Here is a 20,863-nt window from a genome sequence, read left to right on the forward strand (position 1 = left end):
CATATAACTTGTAGTTTGTCTTCCAGTCCTGTTTCTATGCACTCTGTCCTAGTCCTAAAGGAGTTAAACAATACTGCTCTTTGATGGATTGTGTCCTGATTTGAGGGGCAGACAGTTTCCAACCTTTCAACTTGTAAAGAAGAATACACAAGAGTGAGCATGTGTCAGAAATCACAATGTGCACATGCTTACATTCAAAGAGGTATACATTTCTAAATGGTTATTTACATGATATACTCACATTTTGTCAATTACTTTAGTGTAGTAAATTGGACTCTATGTGGAGCTATCAATAAAAAGGGCAGAATAAAAGGACGCCACCAGAATGTCTTGGTTTTTGAGGCTACGTGAAACATCTCTGTAGCCCCTAGGATGTTTTTGCTCTTCCCATCTGAGTCATGACTGTTGGAGAGAAACAGACTCCAAGACTGATAAAACCATGCAGGAAGTTTATTAATGAGTGATTTTTGCATCGTTATTTATGAAAAGAAGGGAAAGAAACACAAATGGAAAGAAAAAGAAGTTAAACTGTGATGCAACAGAACCTTAAGTGACCCTGCAGTGGTCTCTGAAGATAAGGTGATGCTTCAGAGTTATATGGAGTTGGGTGGAGAGATATAGGTCTTTATAACATTAAATTAACTAGCCATTCATTTTGAACAGTGAAGGGCTAGTGAGCTTGGGTGAAGCAGCTCTCTTCAGCTGGGGCAATGCTCTACAGGGGCTGGGAGCTGCAGGGTATATTTCTGGACAGCATTCCCAGAAGATGTGAAGATTCTGGGTACTGTATTACAACTTCTACAATGGTGGAAATGGTGACAATTTTTTTTCAAAATACTGCTGTAATGATTAAATTTGATCAACCTATTTCTTGGCATAAGGCTGGGGCTCGATAAATATTAGTCAAATTTGTCCTTCTAATAAAATTCAAGTAAGAGTTTTAAAAACTTTTAAAATTTATAAAAATTTATGTGGAAGGTATTTCTGCTATAATATATTTCTTTCCCCTTGGAGCGGGAACAAACGTTTTTGAATAATAATATCATCTCATCTTATAATAACTTTATAATGCTGGTGTGATATACATTTTATTTTGCAGGACAGGAAACTGAGATTTAGATTAATTTAGAAATACTTGCACAAAGTCACAAAAATCAACTGTAAAGAACCCAAGATTTTATATGACAGTTTGTTTTCTTTTTATTGTAAAATGAGAAGATTTGCAATAAGAAGATCTGATTTGCTTTATAAACTCTTGTAATTGGGCAAACTTAACAAACGCTGGTTTTAATTTTTTTTATTTATGCATGCAACTGCATCTCCAAGCTCTGTGAGCCATGTATGTCAGGGGCACATCCCAATACAAGTGACATATAAAGAGACACTTTAAGGGCAAAGTAAAGAAACATAGGCTGTATATGTCAGTAACAAGAAAGTATGGTATATTCAGATATTTGAAGACAGTTTTCTATGCCAAGAGCATATAGTGTGAGGACATGAGAGAAGTAGGGATGGGTAGGAAAGAAAAATAACCTAACATGACATGATTACGAACTTGGACTTGGAGTCATAGACAATGATAAGCCACTGAAGAATTTTAAGCCGGAGAGTTGCATTATGTCTATTGATCTTAGAAATATCACTCTGGAAGTAAATGGGTGCTAGATAAAAGGAGAAGAAGCTGGAGGTGAAAGCCCTATTCAGAATTCCGGAATACTATTCAGAATTCCATGTCAGAATTATTAGTACTAAATTGGAAAAAAGTGAGTGATAGTATGAAGAAGGGAGGGTTTAGGTTCAAGAAATACCAAAGATATAAAATAACCATGATTTAGTAAAATCTTTCATTTATTGATTCATTTAACAAAGTGTTGCTGAGTATCTTCTTTGTGGCAATAACTTTGTGAATCCTTGGAGATTTCTCCATGGTTGAGTGGAGAAAAATATATAAAACTATTTATAATTTTTATTACTATTTGAAGAAAACAAAAAGTACATATCCATTAAACTCTTCCGTACAACTGTGTTTTCCCTTACTGTCCTCTTTGAAAAGACTCCCTGCTTTATAATCTTAATTTTTCCTCTTTCTTGGCTTTTTCGTTTACTTATATTTTATCCAGAATTAATATATGTGTATTAATTCAAGTATCAGGGTAATCCTAGCTGCTAACAGAAAGGAATCCTATAATTTATACTGCTTAATTCACTAAGAGTTTAATTCTTATTTACATAATATTCCATTGTGGGTGCTTCTGATTGACAAAAAGCCTCCTGCTTGAATTCTCCTCAGGATACTTTCACTCTTGTAGCTACATTCAATTTTAGGTTTTTGGAGTTCTATGCCTTCAGCCATAAACTGAGAAAATATTGGGAAGATTAAAAAAAAAAGGAAGTTGTTATATAACCTGATGAGAATAGCACACACTATTTCCACTTATAATACCTAATACAAATGCAAATGCAATGTAAACGGTTGTTCTACTCTATTGTTTAGGGAATAATGACAAGAAAAAAGTCTGCACGTGTTCAGTACAGATGCAACCAACTTTTATTTTTTCAAATATTTTTGATCCACACTTAGTTGACTCCTCAGGTGCAGAATCCATGGATATAGAGGGCCGAATATATTAATATTTCAAAAAGTATAAAATATATTAATAATAAAAGAAAACACATGGGGAATCTCAGTAGAGAAGTAGAAGCTATAAATAACAAACAAATGGAAACTCTACAGCTGAAATGGATAATCACTGACATAAAAAATTTACTTGATTGGTCTCAGAGTAGACCAGAGATCGCAAAAGAAAGTCAGTGAATTTAGGCCAGGCGCGGTGGCTCATTCCTGTAATCCCAGCACTCTGGGAGGCCAAGGCAGGCAGATCATCTGGGGTCAGGAGTTCAAGACAAGCCTGGCCAACATGGTGAAACCCCGTCTCTACTAAAAATACAAAAATTAGCCAGATGTGGTGGCACAGTGCTGTGTGCCTGTAGTCCCAGCTACTCAGGAAGCTGAGGCAGAAGAATCGCTTGAAGCTGGGAGGCAAAGATGGCAGTGAGCCAAGATCGTGCCACCGCACTCCAGCCTGGGCAACAAGAGTGAAACTCTGTCTCAAAAAAAAAAAAAAAAAGAGTCAGTAAATTTAAAGATAGGGCAATAAAAAAATTCAACTGAAAAAAAGAGAGAGTAAAGTTGAAAAAAAAAAAAAAACAGAAAAAGGCTTAATGTGCTGTGGGGTATTACCAAGTTATTTAAATATGTATATTAGAAGTAGCAGGAAGATACAAGAGGGAGAAGAAAGCACAAAAGTATTTGAAATACTAATGGCTGAAAACTTCCCCACATTGGTAAAAGGAAATAAATATCCAAGAAGCTCAATATATCCAAAAGAAAACTTACTCAGAAAAATTCAAGATAAACTCGTAGTTCTTTTTGATTTTATATTGTATATCAATATATACAACCAGAGCAACATGTTCAAAATTTTCTTGAATCAATTATTTTCAGTTTAGTTATGCTCATTTAATGTAGTTATATTTTTGTTTGCCTTTTAACTTTAAAGTTTATGTTTATAATCTTCTTTATTGAATGTTATTTTAAATATATGAAATATTACCATGTTACAAAAATTAAACAAACCCCTTTTCTGTACCAACCCCCTCTTACCATAATATCAGTTTAAATAGTAACCCAGTCTCTGTGCACCTCACAATACATGAATTTCGAACAAAGTCAAGTTGTGCACTTACTCAAAGAACAGGCTTGCAATGCAACATTTATTTATATATTTATTTATTTGTGATGGAGTCTTGCTCTGCCACCCTGGCTGGAGTTCAGTGGTGTGATCTTGGCTCACGGCAACCTCCACCTCCCGGGTTCAAGCAATACTCCTGCCTCAGCCTCCCAAGTTGCTGGGATTACAGGCACCCGCCACTATGCCTGGCTAATTTTTTTGTATTTTTAGTAGAGACGGGTTTCACCACGTTGGCCAGGCTGGTTTTAAACTCCTGATTTTAAGAGATCTGCCCACCTTGGCTTCCCAAAGTGCTAGGATTACAGGCGTGAGCCACCACTCCCTGACAAAATTCAACTTTTAAACTAATATCTGTATGATATCTGTATCAAGAATACATTAAAAGAATAATAAAGAACTATCATGAACAACTCTTTGCCTGTAAACTTGATAACCCAGGTGAAATGAACTAGTTCCTTGAAAGACACCCTCTACTCAAACTCATACCAGGAGAAACTGACAATTTAAACAGGTCTATATCCATTGGATCAATAGTTAATAACTTTCCCAAAATGAAAGCACTAGGCTTAGATGGGTTCACTGGTAAATTCTACCAAACATTTAAGAAAGAAATATACAATTCTCTACAATATCTCCCAGGAAATATAGGTTGGAGAAATACTTCCTAACTCATTATATGTGGCCAGCATTATCTTAATACCCAAATCAAATAAATATATTTCAAGAAAGAAAAACTACAGACCAATATCTCTCATGAACATATGTATAACAATTGTCAACAAAATATTAGCAAATCAACCCCAATAGTTTGTAAAGATAATTACACACCACAATCAAGTGGGATTTATTTCAGGTATGCAAGACTGGATGAACATTCAAAAATCAATTAATGTAATCCATTACATCGATAAACTAAAAAAGAAAAATCATATGATCATATCAACAGATGCAGAAAAGCATTTGAGAAAATTCATCAGCCATCCACGGTAGGAACTCAGCAAAATAAAAATAGAGGGGAACTTCAACTTGATAAAGAACATCTACCAAAAATCCTACAGCTAACATCACATATAATGGTGATAAATTAGATACTCTCTCACTAAGATCAGAAACAAGGCAAAGACTGTTATTCTCACTACTTGTATTCAACATTGTACTGGAATTTCTAGCTAGTGCCATCAGGCAGGAAAATAAAATAAAGCATGCAGATTATAAAGAAAGAAAGCTATCTTTGTTCATAGTTTTAAATTATATGCTATATAATATCATTATAAATAATATAAAATAACAAGAGACAATCTATGTCATTTTGGGTTTTGTGATTACTTTAGATGTACCACCACAATTAAAATCTATGAAAAAAAGATAGATTAAACATCATTAAAGTTAGAAACTTCTCTGTAATAGTCACTGTTAGGAGAATGAAAACACAAACCATGAGCTGTGAGAAAATATTTGCAAAACACATATCTGACATTTAAAAAACCCTGGTATTCAAAATCTGCAAAGAATGTTTAATGCTAAATAATAAGAAGGCAAACAACCCCATTAATAAATTGGCAATACATCTCAACAGACACCTCACCAAAGGAAATCAACCAATGAGAAATACACATATGAAAAAATAATCAACATTGAATGTCATTAGGGAATTTCAAATTAAACAACAATGAAATATCACTATATACCTACTAGAATGGCCAAAATCAAAATCACTGACAATAACAAATATTATGGAGAGTGTGAAGCAACAAGAATTCTTATTCACTACTGGTAGGAATGCAGAATGGTACAGCCACTTTGAAAGATAGTTTCATAGTTCCTTACAAAACTAAATATACCCTTACTATATGATATCATTTGGTTCTGTGTCCCCACCGAAATTTCATGTCGAATTGTAATCCCCACGTGTCAGGGGAGGGACTTGGTGGGAGATGATTGAATCATGGAGGCGGATTTCTCCTATGCTGTTTTCATAATAGTGAGTTCTCATGAGATATAATGGTTTAAAAGTGCAGCATTCCCCCCTCACCTTCTCTTCTGGAGCCTTATGAAGAAGGTGTTTGCTTCTCCTTTGCCTTCTGCCATGATTATAAGTTTCCTGAGGCCTCCCCAAGCATGCAGAACTGTGAGTCAATTAAACCTCTTTTTCTTATAAATACCTAGTCTCAGGTAGTTCTTTACAACAGTGTGAAAACAGACTAATACACCATATAGTCCAGCAATTATGCTTCTTGACATTTACTCAACTGAGTTGGAAAACTTATAGCCATACAAAAACCTGTATATAAATGTTTATGGAAACTTTATTAATAATTACCAAAATGAAAGTAATTAATGCATTCTCTAACAGGTGAATGGATAAACAAATTGTAATACATTTGTATGATATATGATACATTCAGATATTAAAAGAAATCAGCTATTAATGTAAAAAAGACCTGGACAAACCTTAAAAGCATATCTCTAGGTGAAAGAAATCAATCTACAAAGTCAACATACTGTATGAATCAAATTATATGACATTCTGGAAGAGGCAAAACTAATGAGGCAATACAAAAATTAGTGGTATCCAAGTGTTCAGTGTAGCAGTAATGGAGTGGGGAGAAAAGATTTGGTGAGAAACAAGAGGTTGTTGGGGCAGTAAAACTACTCTGCATGATATTGTAATGGTGCATACATGCCGTACATTTGTCAAAATTTATGAAATATACAATATGGAGTTAACTGTAATATAGACTATGGATTTAGTTAGTAATGATGTATCAATATTTGCTTATTAGTTGCAGCACATATACCACACAAATTGTAAGATGTTAATAATAGGAGAAAGCAGGTGGGGGGTGAGGGACTATATGGGAACTCTCTGTATTTTCTGCTCAATTTTTCTACAAACCCAAAACTACTCAAAAATAAACTATATTAATTTGTTTAAAAAGAGGCTTTCTGATTTTTAAGCATCTCAGGCTTGTGGGTTTCTGTGATGAGTTTTCTAAATTATAAAATTCTGGTGTTCTTTAGTAGAACTAAATAAATGCACTATTTTGCTCATGTTAACTATGGTTTTTGTTTCTTTGTTCTTTAATTCTGAGATCAATATTAGGAGACTGAGCCCTCAGAGAGTTCTATTCTGTCCAAGCAGGGATTCATATTAGTGAATAGAATACTGTGACTCTTTTAATTAGCCTGTTGCTTTATTCTATGAAAAAAGTATTACTTTACTTCCAGGGTTTGATGATGGCCATATTTATTCCCTGATGCTCTGAAAACAGAATCTTATAAGATGTCTGCTACAAGTGTGTGAATAGGAACAGCCCAGAGTACAAACACAGTTTGCACTTACCTATTGGCTATTATAAGGCTGACTGTACACACGTGCCAAGATTTCTTAGGGCAGGCAGAGAGAGAATGTCAGTCACTCAGAAATTATTACAGGATATTTTGGGGCTTTGATTTTTTTTTTCTACTGGGATTTTGCTAACTTGCCTTTTATCCTATTTGGCTAAATGCTTTGTTCTGTTGATTCACTCGTACTATCAATATGAACATGATTGTTGCTTTCTAAAGATACCTGAAAAGTAAAGGCAAAGAGATCACAATGTATAGAAAAATAGATGTATCCCCAGGGTCATAGCCTGCTGGAAACTGATGTGTTCCTTTTGAAGAGATTAAGTATAAATTTTCCTTAGTCAGAGGTCTGGAAGAAAAATTGGGGAATAAATAGCACCTTTTCTGATTAAGAATAGGATACCTAACACAAAAAGAGTATAACTTTATCCATGTAGTGGGATGTAATTATTGAAATAATAGCAATGATAATAATGTTATAATTTATAGAACATGTATTTTATAACAAATAATTGATTTGCCTACCTTGTATCATTTTAACATTTGCCATGTACTTTTGAATATAACGTTCCATAATTTTACACATTATATAATTGAGTCTTTATATATTTATGTAACTTGTCTATAGTCACAAACTAATAAGGGATAAAGCCAGGATTCAAATTCAAGTTTACCTATTGTGAGGTCAAAGGTGGCAAAATTAATGGTACTTTAGCTAAATCAAGAATGTAAACAGTCCAATAACTTCCTATAAAGAAGTTTATTAACGGCCCATCTGTATTTGCAGGTATACTTCAGATGACAGCATGTGATGTGATGGAAATCTCTACTATTCCCAGGAAAAATGTCCTGTCAAAGTTATCAGATCCATTGCCTAACAAACTTCTATCCTAGCCAATTGACCAACTGAAAGATTTCTGTTGTAAAACATATTCTCCCTTAGATTTTATGGGTTGATTTTCTTTTCTTTTTTTATGTTTCTTCAAAACACACACAAAAATCATTTCTTGCCACCAAACAAAATAGGATTTAATTTGATTGATCGGAACAGGATACAATTAAAGTGAGGATATCCAATGACAATTATAGTCAGGTTGTTTGAACAGATTTCCTGGTATCTCTAAGAATCCCTTAATGATTCACAATTACAAATTTATGTTAAATCCAGGTTTCTCATTCTCTGGACTAACAGGTAAGAAACGAGACATCAGTACTTTGCTGGTTTGAAGATATGAGGAGTTTAGTACTCTGATTATAGTACTCTACAATAAGTTTGCCTAGTTCTTGAAAACATTGAGCTGTCACTGCAAACGAGAATTTTTCCTTTCCCCTGTAGTTTGAACATATGATGCAATCAGTCTTCTAATTTTTGACAGAAGAGGAAAAGGAAGTGATGTCAGCTATTGACTGGATTTCATAGTTGTAAAGATTAGACTAGGACTGGTTCCTGACTAAAAAAATATAGCAAAGATTTCTAGTTTAAGATGATGGATTAAGCACATATGGTTATCAGATATTCCACTTAAGACTTCAGTGAAATAATGGTAAGGGAAAAAATAATAACAACAAAGAAAAAGGAGAGTGGTAATGTTTCAAACAATTATTATAAAATAGAATACAAATAATTTCTGACTTAAGAAGCTGAGGGAAAACACTTTATCCAAGGATACGTAAGAAGGGAGCTGCAGCCAAGAAATAAATCTATTGCCTTCAGTACTGTAAAGAGGTTCAGACACAAGACACCTCAAGTATTTCAGAGCCAGAGAAAGAGAACTGGAATTGGGAGGATTCAGGGCAGTACAGGTGAAAAGGCACTTTCCCAAACGTCATCAACTTGTGACTACATAATACAACAAGGAGGCATTTACTCCTCAGCAAAAGCAATATAAGGTTTTTTAAATTTTTATTTTATTTTTTATTTACATATATTTATTTATTTACTTATTTATTTTCTTAAAGAAACACTGTCTAGAAACTCTGGGAAGAACAAGCACTAGCACACCAGAGCAAAGCCCAGCAGATGCTGGCTCCTCAGGGCCACAGGGCACATTTTCCAGTGCCCTGCCTACCAACAACAAGGTCAAGCCTTCAGGTCTACAACTCTTTCACTGATATATGGAATAATAAAGGTGTTCAACTGACTCATTTTAAGGTATAGAAGTTTACCCAGGCATTAGAAGAAAGTCTAAAACATAAATACCTTTATTCAGAAGTAATAATTAAATCCTAATCATGTGCCAGGCACTATTCTAGGCACTAGAAAAAAAAACCAGCAGTGAACAGAAAACAGATGAAAATCTCTGATCTCATGAAGTTTGGTGGGAGATAAAATACATATATACATATATATAGACAATTTACAAAATAGCAGAATTTCATAAGCATTCTGGAGGAGAGTAAAAAACAAAAGAAGACAGTGAAGAATGAGGAATGTGGCAATTTTAAGTGGTGTTGTCATGGGAGTCCTCACTGAGAAGTGGTATCTGTGCAAAGACCTGAAGGAGACATAAAAGCCAATCTCAGTAGATATTAAAAAACAAAAACAAAAATATGGAAGTAAGAGTAGTAAAGTAAAAAGCCCGAGGTCAGATCATACTTTAACATTTAGTAAAAGCATGGACGGTTGTGTGTCTTGGATGCAATTGCATGTGCAGGCAAGTATTAGATGAGGTGCAAACGAATAGAGTGAGGCTAGACTTCAATAGGCCATGTAAGTCATTGTGAAGACTTTGGCTTTTTCACATTCAATAAAGTACACAAACTTTAAGTATACAGCTCAATGAATATTGACAAATGAATAGTCCTGTGTAACCGTGAGCCAGATCAAGTTTAAGAACTTGCCTCTCATCCCAGAAAGTTTCTTGTGCCTCTTTTGACTCAATTCCCCCCAGCCAGGCAACCAATACTATAATTTCTATCACCACAGATTAGTTATTTATGTTCTTGAACATTCTGTACATGTGTTCATAGAGTATATACTTTCTGCTGTCTAGCTTCTTTAGCTTTACGTAGAATGTGAGGGATAGGTATGATTACATTAGTCGCTCATTTTCTTTTATTGCCGATAGTATTCCATTGTATAAATGTACAGAGTTTGCTCATCTTTTGTACTGTTGATAAACATTTGGGGGCTACCAACGTTCTTGTTCACAAGTCTTTAACTGAATGTCTTTCTCGTGGGTAAACACTTAGGAGTAGGAATACTAGGACCTAGAGTGTTAACTATATTGGAAATTATTCAAAGGGTTTAGCATTTTGCAGTCCTGCCAACAATGTATGAAGGTTCCAGTTGCTCTGCCTCCTCCTCATTATGCCATATTGTCATTCTTCTCATTTTTATCCATTTTCCTGAGAATTAATGATGCTGAGCATCTCTCTATGGTTAGCACCCTATGGTTAGCATATCTTGATTGTGAAGTGTACTTTTCATGATAGTTTTCTCTCATGTTTAATTAGAGTGTCTGATTTTATTTATTGATTTGTGTAGATTGTTTTTATTCTGATATTAGTCCCTTTTTGGATATATGTATTGCAAGTAATTTTCTCCCAATCTGTAGCATGTGCTTTCACTTTCTTAATAGGCTCTTTGGGTTTGTTTTGATGTTGATGAGAGTTTTATTATGGATAGGTTTTGTTTGTCAAATTTTGTTTCTCTACTTATTAAAATAAATATTTGCTTATGACCTAATTTTGGAGATTTTTATTTCTCTTTGATTACATTGTGGTGAGAAAGTATATCCTGTGTGGTTTCAATATTGTGAAATATATTGAGATTGAGATTTATGCTTTTGGCATATATATTTTCAAGTGCAATTAAAACAATATGAATTCTGACATTAAATGTAGTATTCTATAAATGCAAATTGTTCCAAATATGTTAATAGTATTGTTCAAATCTTCTTAAGATCAGTAATAAGGCAAGGACTTCCAATCTTAAGATATCTACTCAACGTTATACTGGAAGATCTAACCAGATTAATAAAGCATTAAAAATAAATAAAAATTATATAGATGGCAAAATAAGAAAAACCATCACTCACATCAAAAAACATGATCTTGTGCATAAAAACTATGAATCTACAAAACAAAATTGTTGAAACAAAGTAAATGTAGTTATTTACTAGTATATAAGTTCAATATACAAACATAGACAGTATTTGTATATATTAGCAATAAATAATTTGAAAATTAAACAATGTCATTTAAAGTGACATCAACAATAAAATACTTAGTCATACATTTTAAAAATGTGTACAAAATCTGTACAATAAAAACAACAAAATATTAATGAGAGTAACTCAAGAAAATCTTATAAATGAAGAAGTAGGTCAAGTTCATGATTTGGAAGACTCAATATTTTTAATACCTGACTTTTTTTCTAAACAGATACATAGATCTAATGCAATTTCAATCAAGATCTCTGCAGAATTTTTGTTAAAATTGATTAATTTATTCTACAATTTATATGGTAATATAAACATAATAGAATAGCAGAATCAATCTTTAAAGTAAGAAAGAAAAGGATAAAAAGCACTATGTAATTTCACAATTTAAGTCCATAGTAATTAAGGCAGTGAAGTGTTGGCATAAAGATATACATAGATCAGTGGAAAAGGCTAGAATCTAGAAATAAATGTACAAATTTATGGTCAATTAACTTTCCAAATTAATTTACCAATTTATGGTCAATTAATTCAAATCATACAGGAAAAACCACCCTTACATTAGGAAACAAATTAAATCTTTATTGTAATCTCACACCTTAAAAAAAAAAACACAAAACAAAACTCAGAGTGGATTATATACCTAAGCATAAACAACAAAACTATAAAACTTTTAGTGGTAACGTGGGAAAAAATCCCTAGAGTCTTGTGCTAGGCAAAACCCATTTTGGTAAGTCACCAAAATTAATACAAGAAAAAAATGATAAATTGGACCTCATCAAAATGCAAAACTTCTGAACTTCCAAGGACACTTCTAAAAATTAAAAATCAAGTCACACGCTGGGAGAAAATATTCACAGCATAACAAAGGATTTGTAAATAGAATATATAAAGAATTTTCATTAAGAGGATAACAATTTAAAAATAAGCTAGGACTGTCATGGTGGCTCAATCCCATAATAAGAGCACTTTGGGAGGCTGACGTGGGCAGGTTGCTTGAGTCCAGGAGTTTGAGACCAGCCTAGGCAACATGAGAGAACCCTGTGTGTGCAATAAAATATTAAAAATTAGCAGGGCATGGTGGCATGTGCCTATGGTCCCAGTTACTGGAGAGGGTGAAGTGGGAGAATCACCTGAGTATGGTATTTCAAGGCTGCAGTGAGCCATCATTGCATCAGTGCATTCCAGCTGGGGCAACAGCATGAGAATGTATCTCAGAAAAAAATCAGAATTAAATAAAAACAGGGTATTAATATGAACGAATGCTTAGTAAAAAATACATATAACCAATGAGGATATGAATAAATGCTTAACACCTCTAGTATTCACGGAAATGCAAATTAAATTAACAATAAGATAGCAATACACACCCACTAAATAAGGAAAACTTAAACAACTAGAAATACAAAGTGTTGACAAGCATATGGAGCAACTAGAATGCTCAATATTTAGTGGTGGAAACATAAAATGGTATAAGCACTTTGGAAAATTTTTTGGCAATTTATTATACATTTAAGCATTTAATAATTAAATAGCCCAGAAATTCATTTACTTGACAGACACAATAATATATGTTCACAAAAAAATTTCTAAGTCAATGTTCATGAAAGCCCCAAATTGGAAACAATAAAGATGCTTCTCAACAAGCGAACAGATAACCTAATTATGGTTTATATATACAATTGAACACCACTCCACAATAAAAACAAGGAACAGACTGCTGCTACATTCAACAACATGGATGAATCTCAAAAACATATTAGACAAAAGAAACGCTATGTAATCTACATATTCCAAATATGTAAACAAAGTCATCGAAGTTTTAGTTGCCTTTATAATAAGGAATGATTATCTTAAAAGGAAGTATGTTCCTATTATAAAATAATAGATGGAAGTAAATTCCTCAAAAAAGGTGCCAAACACTAAAATTTAATATATAATGGGGAGCTCATTTTACACCTACTTTCTAATGAATTGAAGAGTAAATAGATTTTAGAAAAATTTATTCATTTCATTATAATCAACAAATATTTTCTGCATTCCAACTACAGCCCATGCACTAGTTTTATAGCAGATTTCAAAAAACAAAACAAAAAACCTATTCTCATGTAACTTACAAGCTAATGGTGGGGTTAAGAATGAGAAATAAGGAAAACCAAAATAAACTAGTAAAATATGTAGTACTTTAAATAATGATATGAGTACTTTGGAGAAAAATAAAACAGGAAAGGAGGAAATGAATATCTTGGGGTTTATCATTTTAAATAGAGTAGTACTGGGGACCTCACTAAGAAGGTAACATTTGAATAATTAGAATAAATGAGTGAAAGTGCCAAGTGGCCATTTGGAGACAGGGCAGTCCAAGCAGAAATGTCTTCCAAGAGTTTAAAGCATCGTTATAGAAAAGTATATCTCTACATTTCTAACTCAATCATTTTCAGAAGCTATTTAAAATATGCAGAAAATAATTTAAAGGATTTGGGAGATGATAATCAAGGGGTACAAAATCTCAGAGAAAAGGAATATGTTTGTTTTCGGATCCATTGCACAGCATGGTGAATATAGTTAATAATAGACAATTGTACATTTCAAAATTGCTAAGAGAATAAATTTCCCATGTTCTCAGAACAAAATTTTTAAATATTTAAGGTGATAGATATCTTCCTTAGCTTGATTTAATTACTTACAATGTATTCATAAACATGACACTACTTTGTACCCCATAACTTTATACAATTACATATTGTCAATTTACCAAAAAAAAGAACTTAAAGGATCTGATTTTTAGGCTGTTCTTTCCTTCTTATCAGAGGAACATCCCTGAGACAAAGAAAAGAAGGCAGATGCTCTAATTTATCTTCTTGTTAACATAATTATTAGACCTCCGAGTATATAGAATAGCTATATTTAGTAGTAGGGGGGTTTACTTGGAGGTATATCTGAGAAACGTTCCTAACATAACATGCCTGGTTGGCAATTGCTTATAGAAACAGTTTCGTGATAAACTAAAAGTTTGGACCTGTGTCCTTGCCCAAATCTCATGTTTAATTGTAATCCCCAAATATGGAACAGGGGCCTGGTGGGAGGTAATTGAATCATGGGGACGGACATCCCCCTTGCTGATCTCCTGAGAGTGAGTGAGTTCTCACAAGATCTGGTTGTTCAAAAGTATGTAGCACCTCCCCCTTCACTGTCTTCCTCCTTCTTGGGCTATGTAAGACATGCCTGCTTATCCTTCCCCTTCTGCCATGACTGTACATTTCCTGAGGTCTCCCAACCATGCTTCCTATACAGCTTGTGGAAGTGGGAGCCAATTAAATCTCTTTTCTCTATAAATTACCCAGTCTCCATTATTTTTGTATAACAATGCAAGGATGGACGAATACACTTAGAATTTATGCATTATAAGATGTGGATCTCCGGAAAATGTCATCACTTCTCTGTTATAAAAAGACTGAACACTTCTTGCTATGTGAGGTAATAAAATTAGTACCTCACTTGGAGGCCTTATCTACTCTGAGACAACAGGGTGCCTCCATGCAGAAAAGAAATATTCAGAATAGCCCTCAATCTCCAAAAACATTCCATGCTTCTTCTAGCCTCTTGATTTCTTGTATCCTTGAAATTACTCTTAGAATTTGATACTGCCAAGCACAGTGGCTCAAGCCTGTAATTCCAACAATTTGGGAGGGTGAGACAGGAGGAATGCTTGACAGGAGAGGTTCAAGATCAGCCTGGGCAACATAGTAAGACCATGTATAAAATAAAGTTTAAAAGTAAAAATAAATTTATATGTAATACCTAATAATATTTTTGCTAGATAAAAATCTTTGAAACTCTTCACGGAGTAAAAACCTTACTAAGTGTGAATCTTGAGAATTTGACTTCAGAATCCAATCATTTCGATAAGTTAAAGATGATATACAGTGTGATATATGTTCATAGTTGCCAAGATAACTCAATGTTAAACCATATATTCCTGAAGTGTTGATTGTACTGAATAGTAAATCTGTATAATAGACATTCATCATTTATGTCTAGCCAACATCTCTTCTCCTTTTTCAGTAGCAACATTCTGCTTTCTCACTGGAGAACTCTGTTTTACTATTTCTGTGGTTCTACTGGGATTGTCAAATTTTATTCATCTATTCCAATTACCTTCACTTTTTCAAGGACAGGCACACAAATCAAGATACTCTATTCAAATTCTCTTTTTAGGGATTTATTTATTAAGCAAAGTAACATAGGGAGAAAAAACACTTTACGGCCACTGGCAGTGTTCTGAAGGCATTGTTCATTTATTCCTCTTCTTTGGTTTCCTTAAATTGACTTGATTCCAGTAGTGACCACAGTGAAAATAATTTGTACCCTCGACTTAAAATGGATGTTTTGTATGTATTTTAGATCTCAGATTTATGAGAGGAAATGTGTAATAACAAATAGAAAAGTTTTGTTAGATGAAATTTATTATTCATCCATAATCACCTACATAGTGGTGCATTGCTACACAGAGTATGTGTTTTAGTCAATTTTCATACTGCTATTAAGAAATACCTAAGACAGTGTAATTTACAAAGAAAATAGGTTTAATGCATTCACAGTTTCACATGGCTAGGGAGGCCTCACAATCATGGACCAAGGAGAAAGAGGAGCAAAGGCACATCTTACATGGCAGCAGGCAAGGCAGCATGTGCAGAGGAACTGCCTTTTATAAAATCATAAGACTTCAAGAAACTTATTCACTATCATGAGAACAGCATGGGAAAAACTCACTCCTATGATTCAATTACATTCCTCTGTTCCCTCCTATGACACAGGGGATTGTGGGAGCTAAAATTCAAGATGAGATTTGGGTGGAGACACAGCCAAAACATATCAGTATGTCATAGTATTATGATACAAGTTAGTTCAAGTATTAATGAATCTAAAACTTCAGTTTGATTACTGGAGAGTTTATTAAAATTCAGAATTATGCAACCCATCTCATTCAGTTGATCTGCCTTTTTAACAAATACCCTAATATTTCCCAAGGAATGGGAACAATGCAAGCAAATTGAACTGGATAGGTCTCACAATTTTAGTGTTACTAACAGAGTACATATCAACTTTCAAATAGCCTATAAATAAGTTCCCTACTATCTCTGAGAATGTGGGATATGTTGGGTTGGGTGGGAAGTGCTTAAGAGATTCCATGTAAAGAGCAGAGAGGAATGGATTAAACAAAAGACATATTAAGATTTCCCCATAAGATTAATTGAAATAAATCCCAAAGTACTAAACACAGATGAAATTTCCTTTTAGAAAAAGGACTTGAAAGTGTATAGAACAAGAAGTGGCAGCTCAAGAAATGTTAATTTTGAAAGAGAGGAATATATATGGAAGAAAAAGGTATGGAAATAAATGGAACAAAGAAACTAAGAGACAAAAAAAGAGTGAAACAAGAATCATTAATACTTCACTTCAACCACCTCCCAAGCACCGTCACTATCTGTAATAGAAACTGCTGAGTGGGGCTCTCAAACTAAGAATTCATTATGGGAAATTAATTGGAAAAGGGAAAGTAGACCACATCCATACAAAAGTAATACAAAAAAATTAGAAAATACATGGAAAAACTTTCCTATTAACAAAGTCTCATTACCCCAAAAAACACAAAATTGAAGAAAACTGAAAAACAATACCCCAACTGAATTAAATATCCTCAAACAAGCCTTTAGGTATGTGAAGAAATACTTTGAATCTGAAAATCAAAAGCAAAGAACAACAACAACAACAACAACAACAACAAAAACAACAGAAAAAGCTGGAAGGAATAAAACAAGAATTAAATTTAGCAAATAAATAGAAAAGAAAGATAACATATTGATCATACTCTCAGTATGAGATATATTAAGTAAATAACTAGAAACACAAACTAAATTATAAGCCACCATAGGGAGAAAAGATTAAACAAAAATTTAATTAAGGCCAAAATAGAAAAGAACAAAAACCAAAAGGATTATAATGAGGAAATAAAAAGCATTAGAAAGAAAATAGCTGAAATGGAAGGCCAGCAAAGAAGGTAAATCATATGTATAATTGATATCCCTAAAGAACAAAATCAAAACAACATAACAGAGGTAATAATTAAAACTTTTAAAGAAAACTTCCAAGAATAAGATCTGAATTTATACATTGAAAGATCCCACTAGTTCAACTGGGTATTGACAAATGTTGACCCAGAATAATAATCTCTAATATATATTGCAGTAAAATGACTAGAATTTAAAGATTTAAAAAAATTCAACAAGCAAGAGATGAAACTTTCAAAGCAACATAATTATACTGGCATTAGATTTCTCACAAGCAATGTACAAGGCAACAATGGAAATGTAATTTCAAGAACCTTAAGCAAATCAGTACAAACCACCTAGGCTGTTAGCAAGTGCAAAGGCAATAGGAAAAACAGTGTTAAGAGGAGCCAGAACTCAGTGAATACTGTAGACATGTGTCCTTCCTGAAGAATATTAAAGCAGAGATTAGCACACTATTCTATGACACGTTTGATAGTAAATATTTAAGGCTTTGGGGATCATTTGGTCTCTATCAAAACCACTCAACTATGGTATTGCAGTACAAAAGCAGACACAGATAGTACATACATATTACATAATGAAATCATTAATGCATTACAATAAAACTTTTTAATTATAAAAACAAGAAGCAAGCTTAATTTGACCTGTTAGCCTTAGTTTGTCAACCTATACTAAAGGATAAGCTTTATCCAACAAAACAGTGACTGGAAAAGCTTTCTTAAAGTTACTAATAATGAATACTTTTCTTATTTAAAACATTTATTTAGACGGTTAAGACTAAAACAATGTTAGTGTCATTAATAAATACATATGTAAACACAACATGTTTTGAAAAAGGTAGAAATGATTCAGAATTATTTAAAAAGAGAAGAAAAAGGGAGAAGTAGGATAAGATCATAGTTTTTTAATAGGAACTAGGTTGGAGTCAAAAGAATGCCATTTATAACTGGCATATCAAATGGTTAAGGTTACAGTTAGGTTAGATAGAGGGAATTAAGGGTACTAAAGGTAGTATTCACACAAAAGTAACTACTAGCATATTTTTAAAAACCTTCCTAAATAGTAGAAATACATTTAAAAACAAAATAGGCATATAAAATACAGAAATAAACTCAAATATAAATCACACAGAATATATACAAATAAGATAATATGATAGAATTGAGACCAAATATAATTGCAATTTGCTGAGTAAAGCAAAACCTATTTTATAATCTATACAAATGACCTAATAGTGAGGGACAAAGATTTGCCAGGTGAATGGGAAGAACAAAAAAGTAAGGGCTGAAATCCTGACACATAACAAAGCAAAATCTAATCAAAAGCATTAAATGAACCAAAGAACACTCTGAAGTTAAAAGCCATGTCCCACTGTATTAGCTTGTTTTTTCATGGCTACAAAGAAGTACCAGAGACTGGGTAATTTACAAAGAAAATAAGTTTAATAGGTTCATGGTTCTGCAGGCTTTAAGGGAAACATGGCACCTTCATCTGCTCAGCTTCTGGGGAGGTCTCAGGGAGCTTTTACTCATGGCGAAAGGTTAAGAGAGACCAGACATCCCACATGGTAGAGGAAGAGAAAGAGAGAGAGAGTGGGTGGGGCGGGGTAAGGTGCCACACACTTTTAAATGACCAGATCTCCTGGAAGCTCAGAAAGAGAGCTCACTTATCATCAAGGGGATGGCCTAAGTCATTCATGAGGAATCCATCCCCATGATTCAAACACCTCCCACTGGGCCTCAGCTCCAACATTGGGAATTACATTTCAACGTGATATTTGAATGGGGACGAATGTCTAAACTATATCACCCACAGTAAAAATATGAATATATATGCACCAAATGACACAATAATGATTTACATAAAACAAAAGTTTAAAAATGGTAAAGAGAAATAGAAAGAAACAGAATAACAATAGTAGCCTTTAATACACCACACTCAATATGTGATATATCAAGTGGACAAAAAATAAGTAGGTAGATCCAAACATATATTACATTCAGATAGTAAAGAATACATCTCCTCAAGTTTATATGGAGCATCCACAAAAAATGACCATCTATAAAATAAAAATATTATAACCATTCTGTGTGACTGCCATTCATAAAACTGAAAATTAAGAATTCCTATTCCTATTCTTTGTCCCCACACAAAAAAATCCCTTCCAACTGGAAACTTAGAATATATTCTATTAAACAACTCTGGTGAAAGGAGAAATGCAGACAGAAATTATAGAGTATCTGAAAATAATAACAAATAAAATACTACATGTTAGAATTTAACAAGTGCATTCAACAATAATTGGACATTTTCTAGCTCTAAACATCTATATCAATATAAAGTAAATAATTATACATAAATGCTTATATTTCTAAGTCAAAGTGCTTGACAATAAAGACTACTGTAAACCCAAAGTAAGTACATGGAATAATATAATAAAGATAAAAATATAAAATAAGATAAAGTAAAAATAATAGATTAAATTAATAAATCAAAATCCTGTACCTTAACAATTTCAACAAAATAGACAAACAGTTGTTTTAAAAGAAAAACTGAGATAAAAGCATACAAAATAAGAAATTACTTTGGTTATTATAAAGATATTGTAAAAAATTTTTTTTAATTACACAGGGAAATAACCAGTGATATAAAACAATTTAAGAATGAAGGTTAATTTGCCTATCTCAATGCAAACAATCATTGTTATACTATTACTTAGATTGTAAAGGTATGTTTACATACTTTGTACACTTTTATTTTATTTTATTTCATTTTATTTTATTTTATTTTATTTTATTTTATTTATTTTGTTTTAAAGACAGAGTCTTGCTCCCAGGCTGGAGTGCAGTGGCACGATCTTGGCTCACAAAAACCTCTGCCTCCCAGGTTAAGGTGATTCTCCCGCCTCAGCCTCCCAAGTAGCTGGCATTACAGGTGCTTGCCACCACGTCCGGCTAATTTTTGTATTTTTAGTAAAGACGAGGTTTCACCGTGTTGGCCGGGCTTGTCTCAAACTCCTGACCTCAAATGATCCACCCACCTTTGCCTCCCAAAGTGCTTGGATTACAGGCATGAGCCACCACAACTGACCTATTTATACATTTAATATAATTCACAATAAACAAGAAAATACAATATTAAGTATGAGCATTATTTAAGACAAAAAGTGATACAGCAATAATGTGACATCTTAGGAGAGAGTAGCCTAACTTAGTTGACATGTTTTTGTTACTGAGATTTGAAATGTACCAAGAAAAGTGGCTCCATTTTTTCTACAAGAAACCCATTTGACAGGAAGTATGGCTCTCACCTATAAAGGTGAGATAAAAGAAGTTGAACTGTCTAAGCTTCCCTCGGGGTCAGCATTTCTCAAGATTATTATATTTTCAGATCCATTAGAAACAACATAAGCCTTCTTTATCGCTTTGAAAATAAAATTTTTTAACAAGTTCTCTAGCTCTCTCAGAACTTCTGGTTACCTTTGGCATGTGTTTTTCTACTTTGTGCCCATCATTCTGCATTTTTA

General features: G+C 33.2%; 1 long non-coding RNA gene across 1 annotated transcript in view; it reads left to right on the forward strand.

The window, feature by feature from the left end:
* LINC02238 (long intergenic non-protein coding RNA 2238) overlaps positions 1-10,769 on the forward strand; it is a 63,964-nt gene extending 53,195 nt beyond the window's left edge. The window contains exon 4 of the long non-coding RNA NR_146300.1: positions 7,888-10,769. This is a non-coding gene — a long non-coding RNA (long intergenic non-protein coding RNA 2238). The remainder of the gene's footprint in view (positions 1-7,887) is intronic.
* Positions 10,770-20,863: the final 10,094 nt, after the last annotated feature.

Source organism: Homo sapiens, chromosome 1 (genome assembly GCF_000001405.40).
Source record: "Homo sapiens chromosome 1, GRCh38.p14 Primary Assembly".
In the NCBI taxonomy this organism is placed as follows: Eukaryota; Metazoa; Chordata; class Mammalia; order Primates; family Hominidae; genus Homo; species Homo sapiens.